At 36.7% G+C, this 19,722-nt stretch overlaps 1 protein-coding gene across 16 annotated transcripts in view; it reads left to right on the forward strand.

Annotated features, from left to right (window-relative positions):
- The window catches only part of CNTNAP4 (contactin associated protein family member 4), a 283,357-nt gene that overhangs the window by 171,704 nt on the left and 91,931 nt on the right, over positions 1–19,722 (forward strand). For 9 of the 16 annotated variants that reach the window (NR_136210.2, NM_001322189.2, NM_033401.5 and 6 more), the window contains 4 exons: positions 611–754; positions 3,404–3,665; positions 12,852–13,001; positions 18,248–18,419. Coding sequence is in view for 13 of the 16 variants with exons in the window: in NM_001322189.2 (NP_001309118.1) it covers positions 611–754; positions 3,404–3,665; positions 12,852–13,001; positions 18,248–18,419 (728 nt within the window). In the remaining 3 variants the exon portion in view is untranslated. Of the gene's footprint in view, positions 1–610; positions 755–3,403; positions 3,666–7,748; positions 7,819–9,945; positions 10,059–12,851; positions 13,002–18,247; positions 18,420–19,722 lie in introns of all 16 variants that reach the window. The other 7 variants (NR_136213.2, NM_001322191.2, NM_001322190.2 and 4 more) reach the window with 5 other exon arrangements.

A 19,722-nucleotide genomic window follows, 5' to 3' on the forward strand; every position in this document is an offset into this window, starting at 1 on the left:
TCGGTGTATAGTACTTGAACCTTCATCTTTCTCACAGTATGTAAATTTATTGTTATAGAGGGAGATGATCTTTTTTACCTAAAATATGTAGTCACAGAACATCATATGCAGGAAATCTTCTGCACCAAAAAAATCTTATTACCACAAGCAAATATAGGATGTTTGCTATGACTTCTTTGTGTTCTAGGGTATTTGTGAGCAGTATAGATTTATAAGGAGAATGTACCAACAAATTGATTAATTAATTCATTAGCAATGGATTCAAATGCTCAAATATCAATATGTGCTAGAAGCGTATCTAAAATAAAATATTATAATTGGTTATAGTATTAAACAGATCAAGTTTTACCATGTTATAAAGATGTATTTTTCATCGACCAGTGAATATCAAAGCCAGATGTGATCAGCAACTTGTAAAAATAAAGTTCTAGTGTAAATAAAAGCTAAATGCACATAAATTTGTTTTAAATCTATATCTTAATTTTTGTGTGTGTAGGGTTATGAAAAATTGATCTGTGTGTGATGATTATAGCTATACTTGCTAATCATAATTAAGCAGATTTTTAGAAAATCACTAAACAATATTATTGATGCCATTTTTCTTTCTAAGATCAGCTTTGGAGGGATTCCAGCACCTGGAAAATCAGTGTCATTCCCACATAGAAATTTTCATGGATGTTTAGAAAATCTCTATTATAATGGAGTGGATATCATTGATTTGGCCAAGCAGCAAAAACCACAGATCATTGCTATGGTGAGAGTCTTTATGCGAAGACATTAGTAAAACTATATTTCTTTTTTCCACACAGTAAAATTCCTCCATTTTAGGTTCCCATTTGACATGGGGTTTTAGAGGTACTCTTATTTAAATATTTTTCTTTGATTGGCAATATGCATATAAAAGATTGGTTCTATCTGAAGGAATTATAATTTTGGGGGCATAATTATTTTATTTTTATATGAAGTAAAGCAGTGTTTTTATGGTTGATATTTTAATTTTATTGTGATGTCATTACTCACAGGAGCCTAATTTCTTTTAATCTGTATTTTTTTTTTCTTTTTTGAGATGAAGTCTCACTCTGTCACCCAGGCTGGGGTGCAGTGGCATAATCTCGGCTCACTGCAGCCTCCGCCTCCCAGATTCAAGCGATTCTCCTACCTCAGCCTCCTGAGTAGCTGGGACTTGTAGTCCTGCCAACACACCTGGCTAATTTTTTGTATATTTTGTAGAGACAAGGTTTTGCCATGTTAGCCAGGCTGATCTTGAACTCCTGACCTTGGGTGATCCGCCTGCCTCAGCCTCCCAAAGTGCTGGGATTACAGGCATGAGCCACTATGCCCAGCCTGCTCTGTGATTTTTTAAATAAGATATTCCCTGACAAACTTACCAGATGAGCATAAAGAGTTTCTGGAATCAGATAACAACCATGTATATTAGGGAGACATTTGAAAAACTTGTATTTTGCCATAGTCATTCATGATAAATAAAAGAGACGAACAGACAACAGCATGTAAGAAACATCACATGTAGGAAATCTGCACCAAGAGATCTTACTACCGCAAGCAAATACAGGTTGTGTTACAATATTGCATCGGCCAATCTGTCCAAATGGCAATGTTGGTCAGACTGCATTACATTCTAATTCTGTGGAAACGGGGACAATTTAAATATAGCTGTCTTGGTTAGGTTTCAGTTAGGGAAGCAGCACCAATGCTAGGTATTGTGAACAGTGGATCTATATTAGGACTTGGACCTCAGCAATTTTCAGAGGAACTAAAAAATGAATGGCCTGGCAGGGGAAGTGCGAGGATCAGAGAAGTCATTAATTCTGCCCAAAGCAGTGATGTGTGGAGGCATGTTGGAACTTACAGACATTTTCAGCCTAGGAGGGTTGAAGAGAACTTTGGCAGTTGTTGCCTGTGGGTAGCCACCACCCCTGTGTGTCCCCAGCCATGCATCCAGCGATGGGCCTGGGCTTGCTGTCGGTCGGTTGGGCCAGCTGTCAGGAAGAAGAGATGGGCCATAGTGCAGGAGAGCAAGGACAGACTGGAACAAACCAGCCGCTGTGTGACCACCCCTCATCGCACATGATTAGAAAAACAACCTTAGGGGCAAAATGTGTTGCTGGTGTTTTAATTCTAACTATCAAGTATCACCCAAGCTCTCTTTTTTGGCTTTTACTCAGAAGCAGACAAGTAAGGGGATCCTGGGAAACATGGTTTCTAGCTTTACCAGTTTGATAATAAAATACAGGCACATATTGATTTGAATAAATTTCTTTCATTGCTTAAAATCCAAAGTGGGTAAATTTAAGCTCATGTGTCAGCAAATCCCAAAGCACATCACAAGTGTATTTATTGTTTAAACAGCATTTTATTTCTAATTATGTGAATTGGTGGTATTTATATGACCACAACAGCCAGCAAGATTTTAAAATAGTATTTTTAATAAAAGCAAAATTATTTAAAATAAAAATAAAAATATTTTAGATAGATGTGTGTGTGTGTGTGTGTGTGTGTGTGTGTGTGTATTTTATCCATAAAATGAGTTTCTAGAAACTGCAAGGACCATTCACTCTTCATTGGCAAGAGGATTTGCTGCTGGTAAGCTATCATGCAGCTATCCAAATGATGCATAAGATCAAGCTGCAGGTTAATGGGTACAAAAATATGATTAGAAAGAAGAGGGGCAATAAATTCTAGTTTTCAATAGCACAGTAGGGCGACTATAGTTAATAAGGATTTATAGTATATTTCAAAATAGCTACAAGATAAGTTTTGTAATGTTCTCAACACAAAGAAAAGATAAATGTTTGAAATGATGGACATCCCAATTATCCCGATTTGCTCATTACGTATTATATATATGTATCAAAATATCACATGTGCCTCATAAATATATACAACTATTATGTATCACTAAGAAAAAAGACCAAGCTGCAGCTGGTAAAAATGTTTTTTTTTTTTTCCCTAGGTTTGATAGTCTTAAAATTGCCTTTACACATATGGGTTAGTGTAGTTTGCTGTTCAGCTTTTGTTATTTCATTCATTGGAACAATGTATTTGTTTATAATAAAAGTGAATTCACTTTTCACAGATTCATAATAGAGCCAAATGTTTTCGTTTGACCAAGACCAAATGTTTTATTCCAATGTGTATTCTTCTAAATAAGCTTGACTTCATTGACTTTTAAATTTATATTAAAGTTGAGAAATGGAGAGAAGAGCAGAGCAAAGGGTTGAAGAACCTTTAAGAAATATGGCAGTGGTTTGGACTGTCATGTTGATAGCAGGCAGTTGTTTTAAATCGCGGATAATGTGAGATTGAAAAGCAGCCTTCAAATTCTGTTACTAATGTGATGTGAATAACATTCTGAAAGCTTTTTCTTTTACTTTATTCTCAGGGAAATGTGTCATTTTCTTGTTCACAACCACAATCTATGCCCGTGACTTTTCTGAGCTCCAGGAGTTATTTAGCACTGCCAGACTTCTCTGGAGAGGAGGAGGTTTCTGCCACTTTTCAATTTCGAACTTGGAATAAGGCAGGGCTTCTGCTGTTCAGTGAACTTCAGCTGATTTCAGGGGGTATCCTCCTCTTTCTGAGTGATGGAAAACTTAAGTCGAATCTCTACCAGCCAGGAAAATTACCCAGTGACATCACAGCAGGTAATAAATGTATTCCCTGGGGCAAAGCATATGGATTTGAAAGATTTCATTATCTCTGTGGCCAAATTTTATGCATAACCAAAAATGTAATATTTGCTTAATAAATGAATACTCAGGTTAATAAGATTATAAGTACTCTTCCTTAGAGGAACTTGATTCCAATTTTCTTTTAAATATGGTTCCAACACTAGCAGTTCTTATTAACCAAAATGATAGTTTTGGGGAACTGAAGTTTCCTTTCACGACCCTGTCTCCCACTCCAGACAAAGAACATATCCTAAGGTGATGTGTTTTGGGGAAAACATGAAGACCTTGAAATAGGCCAACAAGTTAACTAAGTGTTCTTCAATGGAAAACTAGACTCTTCCTAACACACTTGTTAGTCTTATCTGGTCTGTGAGAAAAAGGGAGAGGTCTTTCTGGGATCTATATCTATATCTCTGTATGAGTGTACAGTGTGAATGGTAACTTTATTTGCTGATGTCTTATGTAAAGAGTTGAATACATTTTGAGGGGATGCAAAGATTTATGCAAGATTCCTCAGTTGTCACCAAATGAAATTCTCTCTACTTCTAGGCAATACGGTATTGTTTTAATGATTAGAAGTAATGTACTTGAGGTGACTATATGAGTATCTGGATAATGAATGTCTAATTTAGGCCAGTGCGTTGAGTGAGGGATGTTTTTGTCTCTTCATTAAAATTATAAAGTTCTTGACAAAAGCTCTACATCACATTTTTACGTATGTACAATGGCATCCAAGCCAAGCAACTAGAGGTTGCCTTGGGGTAAATTACTACATTAATTTAATAAATAATCTTTAAAAACAACTTAAAGATTCCATTGTACTACTCCTCTATATTAAGTATGACCAAAAAATAGTGGAATGTAACTTGGAGAGGAGAAAAAAATGAGAAGTTAAAATACAGTTGAAAATTAAATACGAGAAAACAAGTATACAAATGGATATACAAATGCCTATTATTTATATGTCTTTTTGTTGCTGTACTACTATTGTAGTTTAAATACGGAACCGAGAATTCGATATTAGTTATAATTTTTAAAGAGATACTATGCTGTGACTTTTTATTTAGTGTTCAAAATGTGGTAGATTTGCTGGCTAGACAAAAAGAAATAAATTAATGAGTCTCATATTAATAATTAATAGGCCCTGAAAATGAAGGTCTAAAAATGTAAGCTTGCCATTAGTGTGTCATTTATTGTGATGTATCTGACATCTTCTGAAGTGGTTATATTCATACCCTAATTTTCAGCATCTTAAAGAAACCGCTTCAGTGCAACGTTACTTTGGGGAGCTCCATGAAGTCAGCCTATTTCTTTCTTTTTTTTTTTTTTTTTTCTGAGATGGAGTTTTGCTCTTGTTGCCCAGGCTGGAGTGTTATGGTGCAATCTCAGCTCACCGCAACCTCCGCCTCCCGGGTTCAAGTGATTCTCCTGCCTCAGCCTCCCAAGTAACTGGGATTACAGGCATGTGCCACCACACCCAGCTAATTTGGTATTTTTTAGTTGAGACAGGGTTTCTCCATGTTGATCAGGCTGAAGCCAGTCCATTTCTAACCGCTTTACAAGCATGTATAGTTAATATATTACTAGGTATAAGTCTCATAGAATACCCTGAGGGATTTAAAAATTTCTAAATGAATGTTTAAATTCATGTATAATATAATCTGTTATGACATCATCTGACTTGGTATGATTATTTTCATACTAATCATAAGGATACTAGACTAAATATGAATGTCAGTACACTGAGGATAACACAAGTAGGATTTTATTTAAAAACTCTCTCTACTCTTTTTTTTCCGTTTCTTTCACAATATTATTTTTTGCTAGTTCCCGTGAAGCAAGTACATTTTGCATTTGAAAATAGACTATTTAAATGGTAGTTGGGTGGGAGGTCAGCTTGTTCTCCCAAGGGGAAGACTTTCCATTTATGTTTTATGTATGCGACACTTGATAATTAAACCAGTTGTCAGGATGTATTATAATGACTTTCAAGAGAACCATGTCTTTATTGATGGATTGCTATCACATTGTACTAAATCTTTTCATTATATAAGGATGGATTAATTTTTCTCAGCTACTGGAGATATATTTTACAAATCTTATATGTTTGAAAAACTCAACATTTTAATATATTTTATAATGAAATTAAGATTAAATTGTATTGAGAAAGAACTGAATTGTGCAAATGCTTGAATTATCAGACTAAATTTTTAATATGATGTACAGTTTTGCAAATTGTCATTTGGAATTATTCAAAAATATTATGTCAGCTTAAATCATTTTTGAAATATTCAACACATTATATTAGTATAAATCATGAAACATATTAGCATCACTATAAAATCCCTTATGACACAAAATATTTTTAGTCGTTGCCACCTTTATAAATGTCAAAGCAAAAATCAATGAGCAGTACAGTTTTATGTTCCCATTTAAAACAAAGTTTTTGATATCAAATTTGAGATTTCTGCTATGATTTTAGCATTTCTGCTGCTGTTTTTGCGTAACAGTGAAAATCAGGCTTATAACCATGCCTCTTGTCCCCATGGGCAGGGCCTGGCAGAGGCAGGCTTGCAGTATTTGAGATGTTTCTGCATTTTTCTATTACTAAGCATTCTCAATTCTTGTGCCTCTGACAATGGAGCAGCCCCCTTGATTTGCTGCACCCAGGAGAGCCATTTTTGTCAATCCACCTTCCTCCCTTTCACTGTTGAAATATTCCTAACTTTCGGGCTGTAAACCTGTCACCCTTTAAACTTCTGCTCTCCACCAAAGTGATGGGTACCAACCACCTCCATATTTTCATCTTGACAAGAGCTATCTGGTAATCTGAATCCTTAATTCTGGTTAGTGACTACGGTTAGTGGATATAAGAATGTCTGGCACTTCAGTGCGCTGAAATACGCTTGGAAAGAGGCAACACCCTTTGGTTTTTCCCTGAGGAATGGCCTAGGTATAATTGCCTTTTGCACCTTTGCTGAACTCCTACCCTATATGGCAGGCTAATTTTTTTTCTTATACATTGTGCACTACAGATATGTGTTGTAGTCTTATGAGAGGGTGATGACAACTAAGCTCTCATGTTTCTGATGCAATTTAGGACTGGAACTAGAAGACGATCTGTAGAATGGAAGTAGACGTAAATCTTTTTTCTCCTGCTGTATTTTGTATGTTTATGTGGTTTAGGCTGGAAGACAGAACAAAGAGAGCAACAGAAAGGGAAAGAGAGAGAGAACGTTCTAGGCCATAATCTCATGGTCTCCAACGTGTAATTGCAAACACTTCCATCTACTATTCCATCCTTCCATTATTCCAATTGGCATTGTCAATGTTTTCCATCCAAAGACTGCAATTAACATATCTGGAGTTAAACAAGTTGAATTTATTGCTTATTGCAACACAGAGAACACACCCTGGAAACCAACGGTTGTCTGAAGACAAAGTTGTTAGAATGGCATAGGATTTGGGGTTGTGTTAGCTGATTTGAGGGAGGTTTCAAGGAAGTGAAAAATTGCTGTAGACTAAATGCTGTCACGAAGTGAGGGTAATTCTATGATTAAATATCTTTGTAAACCTTATCTAGAAGGATGAAATAACGAAGTAAGGCTAAAGTTGTAATTGGTAAATACAGAACAAAACAGTTGGTCATTCATAAGTATCAGGAGAGAAAGAAGTTTGTGTTTTTGAGGTTTGTACAATAGCCTTGCTTCTGTCTGTGTTTAGACAAGTTTATAAGTAGTCATGATTTTTCCCCACCTTCATTTCATTATAGTCACAGAATGGCCTTGTCTGATGTTGGTGTTCTGTGTTATTGTTGATGTTCAACAGAAGAACACCAAAGCCCAGCCCTCAGTGCCAGCCAGATTCTTACAACACCAAGGTCTCACTGGTGGTACCAGGCTGTGTCCTAGCTGTTGCGGCCTATTTTTCTTAGAGTTAATTGTTTAATATGAGCAAAAAATAAATAAAATAAAATAAAGTAAGGCAGACACCTGTCTTGCAGACAGGGAAGAGTGTAGGTTTTGGAGTCAGTCTTGGTTTTCTGTTTTCCTTCAGCTATCCAGCAGCTGGATGTGACCTCGGTAGTTTCTTTTCCTCTCTGAGCCTCATTTTCTCCGTATTTAAGGTGAGAATGATAAGTTATAGTGAAGATTAAATGATACTATGCATAGAAAGCTCCCAGTATTTGTTATAAGTAATACCTCAATAAAATTACTATTTTATTATTATGACAACATGTTCCTCCCCAGACTTAAAAGTTATGAGTGGTGGGACTGGGTGCATAGAATTTTCATTTACTTACACAATATCAGAAACAAGAAAACAAATTCAAATTCTATGATTTCTCCTTCTCCTTCCTGTTTCACAGTGGTGCGGCCCTTGAAAAGGGCCAACCTATTATCAGACCTAGTAACGGAAAGGAGTTGTATAGCTACAAAACAATTAGAATCTAATTTAAAATTAGGTAGAGTTAGTTGAAATGAGTTAAAGGGACATTTTGTGATTTGAGTAATAAATTCCAATTGACAGGTATTAAGTCTCCTCATCATAGGCAAATAATGTTTGTTACAAAGGAGGCTTGGGAAAAGCTTTCTGAAGGTTCCCCCACAAACATGGCACAACTTCATTCTATTCACAACCTGTAACCTGCTAGCTTGTTAGATGAATGTGTTTAAATGTGTGCCAAATTACAGAGTGGGTTACTCTGGCAGTCTTTTGTTCCTGATCTATTTTTTGCTTCTGTATGGACAGTAGGCCTCCCCAAGCCTTTTAGTTAATCCTGCTGCATGCCTAACCAATGACTGCCCAGAGCCCTGCTACTCAAAGTATGGGTCCTGGACCAGCACTGGCTCAGTGAAATACTTTTAACTGATCTATGATGAGATGAATGTTAAAATTGAGATTAAACTCCTAGAAACTGGTAAAAAGAGATCACTGCAACATCTAAGCACATGGTTAGTGGGCTTGTATTTTATGTCTTATTTATTTGTTATTTTACTTTTTATTTTTTTTTAATTTTAGATTTGGGGGTACAAGTGCAGGTTGTTACATGGGTATATTGCATGGTGCTGAGATTTGGGTTTCAATTGAACCCATTACCCAAATAATGAACATGGTACCTGATAGGTAGTTTTTAAATTCTTGCCCCATGCCCTCTCCCCTTTTGAAGTTCCCAGTGCCTGTTTTTCCCATCTGTATGACCATGTGTACCCAGTGATTAGCTCCCACTTACAAGTGAGAACATGCTGTATTTGGTTTTCTGTTTTTGTGTTAATTCACTTAGGATAATAGTCTCCAGCTGCATCTGTGTTGCTGCAAACAATGTTATTCCATTCTTTTTTATCGCTACATAATATTCTGTGATGTATATGTGCCACATTTTCTTTATCCAACCCATCATTGATGGGCACCTAGGTTGATTCCATGTCTCTGCTATTGTAAATAATACTACAATAAATACGTGAATGCAGGCATCTTTTTTGGTCAGTGGTCCTCAACCTTTTTGGCACCAGGGACTGTTTTCATGAAAGACAATTTTTCTAGGGACTGTAATGTTGGGGGATGGTTTCAGGATCATTCGAGCAAATTAAATTTATTATGTACTTTATTTCTATTATTATTGTAATATATAGTGAAATAATTATACAACTCATCATAATGTGGAATCAGTGGGAGTCTTGAGCTTGTTTTCCTGCAACTAGATTGACCCATCTGGGGGTGATTTGAGACAGTGACCATCAAGCATTAGATTCTCATTAGGAGTGTGCAACCTAGATCCCTCGCATGTGCAGTTCACAATAGGGTTCGAACTCCTAGGAAAATCTAATGCTGCCAGTGATCTGATAGGAGGCAGAGCTCAGGTGGTAATGCAAGTGATAGGAGCAGCTGTAAATACAGCTTCACTTGCCTGCCAGCCACTCACCTTCTGCTGTGTGATCCAGTTCCTAACAGGCCACAGACCTGGTATCGGTCCATGGCCCTGGGGATTGGGGACGCCTATTTTTGGTAGAATGACTTATTTTCCTCTGGGTATAGACCCAGTAATGGGATTGCTGGGTCGAATAGTAATTCTACTTTTAGTTCTTTGAGAAATCTCCAAACTGCTTTCCACAGAAGCTGAACTAATTTACAGTTCCCCCTTTTTTTTTCTGTAGCCTTGCCAAAATCTATTTTTTTAGTAATTTATTTTCATCATATTTTATAAAAGTATCAATTTGCAATAGATCAGATAATAAAATGTTCATCCCCACAGATAGTTTGAGAAGAACTGTTGGACACCAGTGGAAAGTCTAAAATGAAATAAGAGAAGTAGAGTCTTGCACACAGGGCTTTGAGAATGAGATGTCGGAGAAATGCCAGGGGCAGGTGGGTAGAATATACACGTGACACAGAGAGTGTATAAGAAATTTCTCTCTAAATGAGTGAAATCTATCTTAAAGGAAGCACTGGATGACAAATCTAGGACATCTGATTTATTTTAATCCAGTCCTGTACCATCAAGGATTACATAACTCTATTCAGCTGTCTATTTCAGAGTCCACTCTTAGAAAATGTGTCTAAATGTATCTAACCTACATTCTTCCCATTCCAGTTTTCAGGCCTTTCCTATTATCTTACACAAACCAAACCAGAGTTGGGTCTTCAGTAATCTTTTTTTGCTTCATGGATGTGATGTAAAAGTGAGCTTCTGTGCCCTGGCTAAAATTTGTGTTAGACCATATATGTCCAGGGCAAAGACATGTAATCACCTAAGGGAGTTTTGATGCATTTTTGATCCAAATGTATGTGGTAGAAATTCTTCGGGAAAATAAAAGAAATCACATATATCACATATTTATGTAAACTTCTTTTACATAAAATCAGTAAAGAAATCACATGCAATATCAGAAAAAAGGCTGTTTGGTTTTGATAGATTGCTTATTTTTTTGTTTCTTAATTTGATCTGCAGAATCACACAGAGTTGACTATTCAAATGGATGTAAACCTGACTGGTAAATTCACGACAAAGACTCTTAGATTTCACCTCTGCTCAACATTTAGCTACACAGCTCCTTGTAGAATCGATTGTCTGTAAGAGGAAAAGTCTATGCATTCTGATGGATTCATGACACTGGGGCTTCCTTAGGAGGGACTAGAGATTGCTTTTTAGAGGTGATAAGAATACCTCGATTTTTGATTTTAGCAACTTTTGACTTTATACATGTCTACATATATATAAACTTGGAAAATATGTAAGTAAATAGAAACAATCATATTTTTCCTTTATTAAAAAAACTTTTTATTTGTTTCTTTTTATTTTTGTTTTTTTTGTTTGTTTGTTTTGTTCTGAGATGGAGTTTCACTCTTGTTGCCCAGGCTGGAGTGCAATGGTGCAATCTCGGCTCACCGCAACCTTTGCCTCCCAGGTTCGAGCAGTTCTCCTGCCTCAGCCTCCCCAGTAGCTGGGATCACAGGCATGTGCCATCACGCCTGGCTAATTTTTTGTATTTTTGGTAGAGATAGGGTTTCTCCATGTTGGCCAGGCTGGTCTCGAACTCCCGACCTCAGGTGATCCGCCTGCCTCAGCCTCCCAAAGTACTGGGATTACAGGCATGAGCCACCACACCTGGCCAAAAACTACTATTTCTATGTAAGAACATTTCTGTTCAGTCCCTTCCCATACTTACATAAGAATATAGTTAGGGCCAGGCGCGGTGGCTCACGCCTGTAATCCCAGCACTTTGGGAAGCCGAGGCGGGTGGATCACGAGGTCAGGAGATCGAGACCATCCTGGCTAACACGGTGAAACCCCGTCTCTACTAAAAATACAAAAAAAATTAGCCAGGCGTGGTGGCAAGCGCCTGTAGTCCCAGCTACATTGAAGGAGAGTGGCTTGAACCTGGGAGGCAGAGCTTGCAGTGAGCCGAGATCGCGCCATTGCACTCCAGCCTGGGCGACAGAGCCAGACTCATGTCTCAAAAAAAAAAAAAAAAAAAAATATATATATATATATATATATTTAGAATTGTATATAAATATATAGAGAGTTTATTCACATTGTTTACTATAGTTATGTTCTAAAAAGTCTGTGAACACTGAATTAGGGAATACTGAACCTTTGCTCCTGGGGGAAATACAGAGTTAGGTTCCTGGGAGCGTCTGTCACAACATTTTCTCAATCAGTCAATACATAATCTTGTTTTATGTGTGTTTCTGTTTAAGGACGTCTGCTTTAGTATAATGTTGTCAATTCATTAACATTGGACTTATGGCCAACAGCACCCTAACTCATGCGTGAATGAAACTTATCTAACACATGTATTTTCTCCAAAAGACACATCACAGCCTTCTTGCTCTTAGGAATGCTAGACAACAGTTCAGCATTATGTTTGGGGGCCACTTTAAACAGTGAAATCACAAACAAACTTACAAAAATTTAAAGAAAACATTATTTACAGTATGAGAGCTACAGCAATGAGGGAGAGCATTGCCCTGTTTGACCTCAGCAGGAAATGTGGACAGGGCCGCTTAAGGTCTTTACTGCTCTGTACATGTCCTGAAATGACTGAAAACACCCCTTCAAATATTGATTTGAGAGTTACAAGTAAGTTCTAATAAGGAGGCAAATTCTCAAATATCAAATCTACAAACTACGAGGATCAATTGCATATACATGGCTTTTCACGGTGCTTTATATTTAACTTTATACCTGTAAACTTTCACTATTTATTAATAGTTTATTCCAATATTGTTGTAATGATTGATGGTATAGTTTGCTAAATACTCTATTATCCTACCATAAAAAGGTGGTTATAAAACAGTGCAAAGTAGCAGGTAAACCATTTTATTGGGTATATCTTGGAATTTTGGGAATTCCTAAACCCTTCCTCCCTAAGAAGGAAATTACATAGATGGAAGCTGAAATCAATCTATGACAAATTATTGAAATATTGTAACCATCCAGGATTGTCCAGGGTTGGGAATTTGGAATGCCCCATTTTCCACATAGAGGATGCTCATTTCCAATTTGTCTCCCTTTCCTTGTTGATGTCATTGTTTTTAATTAATAATAGAGTTAAGTACTGTAGCCAATTGAGTGATGTGTATATTGCTGTTTCTAACCAACTCCTTATAGTGTTCACTATTGAGAGCGATCTCTAACTGATTTCATCTCCCTAGGTGTCGAATTAAATGATGGGCAGTGGCATTCTGTCTCTTTATCTGCTAAAAAGAATCACTTGAGTGTGGCGGTGGACGGCCAGATGGCTTCTGCTGCTCCTCTGCTGGGGCCTGAGCAGATTTATTCGGGTGGCACCTATTATTTTGGAGGTAAGAATAGGTGCCAGGCTCTATGAGCAACTGAACCATATTTGCATTAGTGCCCCCGTGTCTTGGCGAAGTCATCATGTTTTAACTAATATGAATACTAAGGAATAATTTTTCACTGTCTTTGATCACGGACATTTTGGGTGGATCAAGTCGAAAAATTCTGACCTGAAATGCATTTCTGCAAGGTGGACTTACTTCTGTTTACAGTTTCTTGATGAGATTGATTTTAAGTAGGCTGTCCTCTTCAGTTCTCACCTTCAAACCTTGCTATATTTTCCTAATGTTAAATGATCCTTATATGTCTTCTTCTGATTTTATGGGCTGATTTAATTGCAGTAGTTTCTTGATTATGCCCTTAGCTCCTTCAGAGCATCCTTATTGCTTCCCTACTGTCCAGTACAGAAGGACAATATTATGCCAAAGGACAAATAATTTAACTTAATCAGCCCCAGCAACCTCTTCTCCTTGTTAAGCATAATGCACTGATACATTTGATGAAATCAGGGCATCAGCCTTCGACACCAGCTCATCTCCCTTAGAGAACAAAAGCAAATGAAGCATCCACCCGCCCAGTGGATGTTTGTTTGAACTAAAAGCCTGGAAAAGAAAACCTAAAAAATGGAAATGAATTTTTTATCACTGGCAAATTAAAACAAATGTTCTTTTCCGTTAGAAATCCAATGTTTTAAAACTGCCAGCAGTAAGACTCACTTCTAATCATGTTGAGGTGTTGCTTATATTAGCGTTGTTTTGTCATCGTTATGTTACATTTTACTAATTGCTTGTATCTGGAATCATTTTTGCATTTGATAGAGGTAGCTGAGTCTCTATTATTCACTAATAAAATACAAATTATTTTCTAAGTATTGACGGTGAGCACACAGTCCATGAATCAGTTTATAGGATTCTAAAAGCAAAAGAACAAACAAACAAAAAAACTGCTACATAATCCATTACTGTGAAAGGCTGCTTAGGGCCAACAATCTGAAAATATATACTTGTTTCCTTTACTGAGATGTTTAAACCGGGCTGCTTATAAAACCTTTTGGAATATATGATTGATTTTATGGCAATCCATAGTAACACATTCTTTTAATAAATAGTAAGATATATAGAACAACTTAACCCAGAGCTTTTACTTCAAAGGAAAAGATTTAGAAGCAGTAAAAGAGATAAGGAAATAAATAGGCATATTGTTAAATGATGCAAAATAAAAGACTGGATAAAATTGTTTGTAAATCATGAAAATAGAATCATCATTCTTCACATATTTTATGTCCTTCATGTTCAGGTTTAACAATGCCTAGCTAGTTGATATAAATTTTTACTCTAGTGATTGCTTTTAGTCATACTGTAATGTAATTTTATAGTAAAATATATCACACATGTACTCTGTAATTTTGCTTGTTTTTATTATGATACATATGATATACATCATCTTTTTAAAAAGTATTTTTGGATAGTTTTAGATTTACAGAAAAGTTGCAAAAATATAGAGAGTTCCTGCACACCCGACATCCAGTTTCCTCTATTGTTCACACCTTACATAATATACACATTTTAAAGATAACTAACAATTTTTCTTAAGTATACACCTACCCATGTGTCTCTCTGCTAAAGAAAGATGATCAATGCATGTCTGTCCCTTGTATCATATCTTTTGATCTCCTATGTAAATGCTCTCCTGAATTTGGGTTTTATGCTTGCTTCATGTGTATTATAATTTTACATCTATTAAGGTGTTTCTAAATAATATATTGTAAGAACTTCCACAGTAAAATTCCAACTTCAGGGCTTTCTTAAAAAAAATTACGAATCTCAAGTTTACTTAGGTATCTCTGTTTATTCAATCATTTTTTCAATTGATGTTCTTTCACATCAGAATATGCTTGACCTTGGCATGAGATTCTATTGGTCATTAAATACAAGCCCTGCAAAATCCAGGCCACCCTAACAGTTCCAGGGCTGGAAGCAAGGAGCCGGATGATAGCAGAAGACCTGCTGCCAAACTCTGCCCTGCACTTCCCAGCCTTGTACTTCCAGAACCAGGTTAAGGCGATCCATCTTCCAAGAAGCCCACTTAGGGGTTTTGGGCTGAAAATTCTGGATCCTGGGAGTGAACTAGAGGGGAAAGGGTTCTAAGTGGACACATCATCTTTTCTTGTGAGGCCTTTTGGTACCATGGGCAAGAGCATGACTGGAGGAGGGCTAAAGTAGGGTCCCTAAAATGCAAGACTGCCACAGGGACCTGGCTGGTACAGGCAGTGGGGTGATCAACTCTTGCCAACTTTAGCTGAACGACCTTCATCCTGGGAACAACCTCCTTCCCCCAGTCCTGGGGAACTGTGACAGTCGTTCCCCCTGGAAAGTTCTATGTAGATAAGGCTGCTCTCTATCACTAGGATCTGTGTTGTCTAGGTGGAAAGTGTTTTTTAGATAATTCTTCAGCCAGTTTATGTTCAAGTAAAAAGTTACTCCGTGTTGTGAGACACGTCTCATCAGTTCTCCTTCTCTCTAAATTTAACTGCAAGTTTCCAGTTATTTTATCTGGGCTGTTCCAACAGCCCGGGTTATACCTCCACTCTTTACCAGTCTTGACAGTGGCTGTCATATTGGGAGAGTGGGCTGCTCCTGAACTAGCAGCACTGTGTATATGCCACACCAGACTTCTCTTATCCATCCATCACTTTTTACTCTGTAGCTTTTTTTCCACCCTCAAACAGGTGCTTTTCACAAAGTCGGACTGTATTGTGGTGGTACATTCTGCTCAGCTTTTATCATTTATAAATTATACATTTTAAATTTAGATTCTCTAGATTGAGAATGGCTGGGTGTCTAATTTCTGTACATTCCCCTATGGAATCTTTTGCAATGCCTAACACAACATGCAGCACAATCTGGGGATACTGTGTGCAAAATTCTCACATCCCCCTCCCTTGTGTAAAGCAAACATTCTCCATCCAATGAACTGACTACAGCACTGTGAAGTCTAACCTGACATCTCACTTCTGCTGCAGTGACATATAGCGATAATTTATCTGTTATCCTCGGAGGTGCTTAACATGCTGACTGCCTCCAGTAATGGATCCATCCATTAATTCAGCACTAAGTATTCTTCAGAAATCTTCCTATTTTAGGACTTTCATCTCAAATTGGGCTCAGTGCTGAGCTTCTCTCTGGTATTGCATTATATTAACTTGTTGCTGCCTCTTATCATAGACTAATGAGGCTAACCTGGGTTGAACCCCTCTTTGTTCATAGAATCTCTTGCTTATTGAACATTGTAGCTAGGAATATGAATTGCCTCATGATAGGATAGTATGCTTTCTGTAAAATTCCATGATCTTTCCTGGTGACTCTGGGTTTGCTTAGCTTTGTTCCCTACAGGCATATTGCACAATTTATTTTATTCTGAGTTAGTTTGAGATGTGTCAGGAAACGCCACCTGGAGAAAAGAAGATTAGCAGAGTTATTTATATGCCTGGCATATTATAGTTGCTTCAAAATATTATTGAACTATTATCCTTTCAGTTTTTACCCTAACATTCTTAATTGGCTAATAAGTCATTCAGAATACATACTGAGATTATGGTAACCATATCTTACACTACAGAAGAAATTTAAGCGCTGGAAATGTGTGTAGTACCATGTACAATAAATTAACACTCAAAAAGCTTTGATGAATTTTTCTTGATATATTAAATTTGAAACTTCAAAGTCTCCATTAGGTTAAAATAAAATGTTTCGGTGTGTCTGATAATAGTTTTAAATTTGAATGCTGTCCTTTACTTGCCATGTAAATGTATTTTGTCAGCAAAACAAAGCATTAAGGAAAAATATTATCAGTCAAACAATTTAATTACAGTGGAAATTCACAAGTAGAAAACTAGTGTGGATTATACAGGAATTAAGAAGTTGCTGACTCACTTCTTATTCTTTGAAATTGTGTTAGTGGTTGATGACTATCATGGCAAATAAAGATTAATTAAAAAAATAATAACCACCCATCTAGTCTCCGTTCCGTGGGTTCAATTGTTTTGATTTTTAGGTCCCACAAATAAATGAGAACACATAATGTTTGTCTTTCTGTGCCTGGCTTATTTCACTTAACATAATGATCTCCAGTTCCATCCATGTTGTTGCAAGAGGCTGGGAAGGGTAGTGGAGTTTGGGGAGAAGTAGGAGATTGTTAATGGGTACAAAATACAGTTAGAATGAATAAGACCTACTATAGGATAGCACAAGAGGGTAACTATAGTCATTAATAATTGTACATTTTAAAATAACTAAAATAGTTTAAATGGATTGTTTGTAAAATGAAGGATAAATGCTTTAGAAGATGAATACCCCATTCTTCATGGTGTGATTATTTCACTTTGCATGCCTGTTTCAAAATATCTCATATACCCACATATACACCTACCATGTATCCATACAAATTAAAAATTGAAAAAATGTAATATATGTATTCATACTCGATAAACTTATTTATTCCACTTGGATAGAGAAACATTTAGAATGTCATTAGACCACAGACAATAATGGTTAATATTATATTTATTATTTAAATAATTATAAACCAGCCTTATATAAATGTTAGAAAAAAATCAATATAGATGAAACATCCTTTTATGAGGCAAAGAATAAAATCAAACTGTGAAATATTTTTGATATTAAGCCATCAAGACTTACTAAAATCCTTGTGTATGTGGTTCCTTTATGTATAGGAAAATACAATAATTAATTAGATAAACAGTTGGTAATTTTATTCCAAGCCAAGAGAACCCATTTTCCAAATAGTTAGCTTTATAAATACAAAGATATTTCATCATTATTAATGTATCTTTTCTTATACATAGTACATGTTTTCATCTTTTATGTTCTTAATTTTGCAATTCAAAATACTAAGTTCCCATCTGTAAGTTATATATAGTTTAATATTGCTGGCTGGCATGTTTAGGATTCTGGAGCCAATGTTTATATTTTTCAAATCTAGATCAAGTTAATATCCTTGCACATTATTATAATACTAGTGACTTCCTGGGAATGCTATGTAAATAAAAAATTCTTTGTATGAATTTCAGTTTGTAATTTAGATCAAACTAATAATGACTGCAGTCATTATTCCCTCCTTTAATACAGAAAATAATCATATGCCTCTTTCTTTTATTTTTTAAATGAAGTTATCTATGATCCTGAATTCTGATTCATTGTGATGCGTACTGGATTTATTTCGTTTTTATCAGGTTGTCCTGACAAAAGCTTTGGATCCAAATGTAAAAGTCCACTTGGTGGATTTCAGGGATGTATGAGGCTCATTTCTATCAGCGGCAAAGTGGTAGATCTGATTTCAGTTCAGCAGGGGTCCCTTGGGAACTTCAGTGACCTTCAGATAGACTCATGTGGCATCTCAGACAGGTAAGGGCAATCTCACTTCATTTTGACCTGCTTTCAAACTTTGGCATCAGATTAAAATTTATGTATAAGATGAACAATTATTCTTTCCTCTTCCCCATTCTTATCTGTTCCACAGGAAATGAATTATATTTACATTAGAAATAAGAAAAAATGCACCCTTTGTTTAAATGTCATATTTTAAATGACAACATTTGGAAGACTTGGCCATGTTATGTATGGCCACGTATGTACACATGCTACCAGTTCGCCAAAGATAATGTTGATGCTGCTATAATTTTAGACAAGTATAGATGTATTAAAAATATGTCATTAAACTCAATATATTAAGGCACTTGAACAGTAAAATTGATCATCAGGTACCAATAAATTTGAGACTATGTAGTCAGTTATCAAACTGGCATTTGCTACCCTGACAGCAGAATATTTTCCAAGGCAGGGGAATTCAGCTGGTTGCACTTCTCCTAATGTGCCTTTTTAACAACCCATTACCATCTTCTCTGGAGGGAAAATGAAAATGAACTTCTCTAGAGAAGCTTGGGGTTGTGGTATTGATCAAGGTATAAGGATGATCAAAGAGTTTCAACAAGAGCATCAGTACAGGACATGACAAGGCAGGACTTGAGAGTTAATTGTGGAGGACAAATAACCTTAAAAATAATATATATTTTTGGCTGGCGCAGTGGCTCATGCCTGTAATCCCAGCACTTAGGGAGGCCAAGGCAGGTGCATCACCTGAAATCAGGAGTTCGAGACCAACCTGGCCAACCTAGTGAAACCCCATCTCTACTAAAAATACAAAAATTAGCTGGGCATGGTGGCGGATGCCTGTAATCCCAGCTACTCGGGAGGCTGAGGCAGGAGAATCACTTGAATCAGGGAGGCGGAGGTTGCAGTGAGCCAAGATCACGCCATTGCACTCCAGCCTGGGCGACAGAGCGAGACTCTGGCTCAAAATAAATAAATAAATAAATAATATTTTTTTGAGACAAGGTCTGGCTCTGTCGCCCAAGCTAGAGTGCAGTGGTGCGATCGTAGCTCACTGCACCCTCCACCTCCTTAGCTCAAGCCATCCTATCTCAGCCTCCTGAGTCACTGGGACTGCAGGCACACAACACCAGGCCTAGCTAATTTTTGTATTTTTTTGTAGAGACAGGGTTTTGCCATGTTCAGGTTGTTATGCCCACTTCAGCCTCCCAAAGTGCTGGAATTACAGGCATGAGTCACTGTGCCCAGCCAAAAATAATAATTAATAGTAATAATTGAAACCTGTGGTTAGGCATGAGCAACTATAGCTAAGTCATCT

The sequence above is a fragment of the Homo sapiens genome, chromosome 16, assembly GCF_000001405.40.
Source record: "Homo sapiens chromosome 16, GRCh38.p14 Primary Assembly".
NCBI lineage: Eukaryota > Metazoa > Chordata > Mammalia > Primates > Hominidae > Homo > Homo sapiens.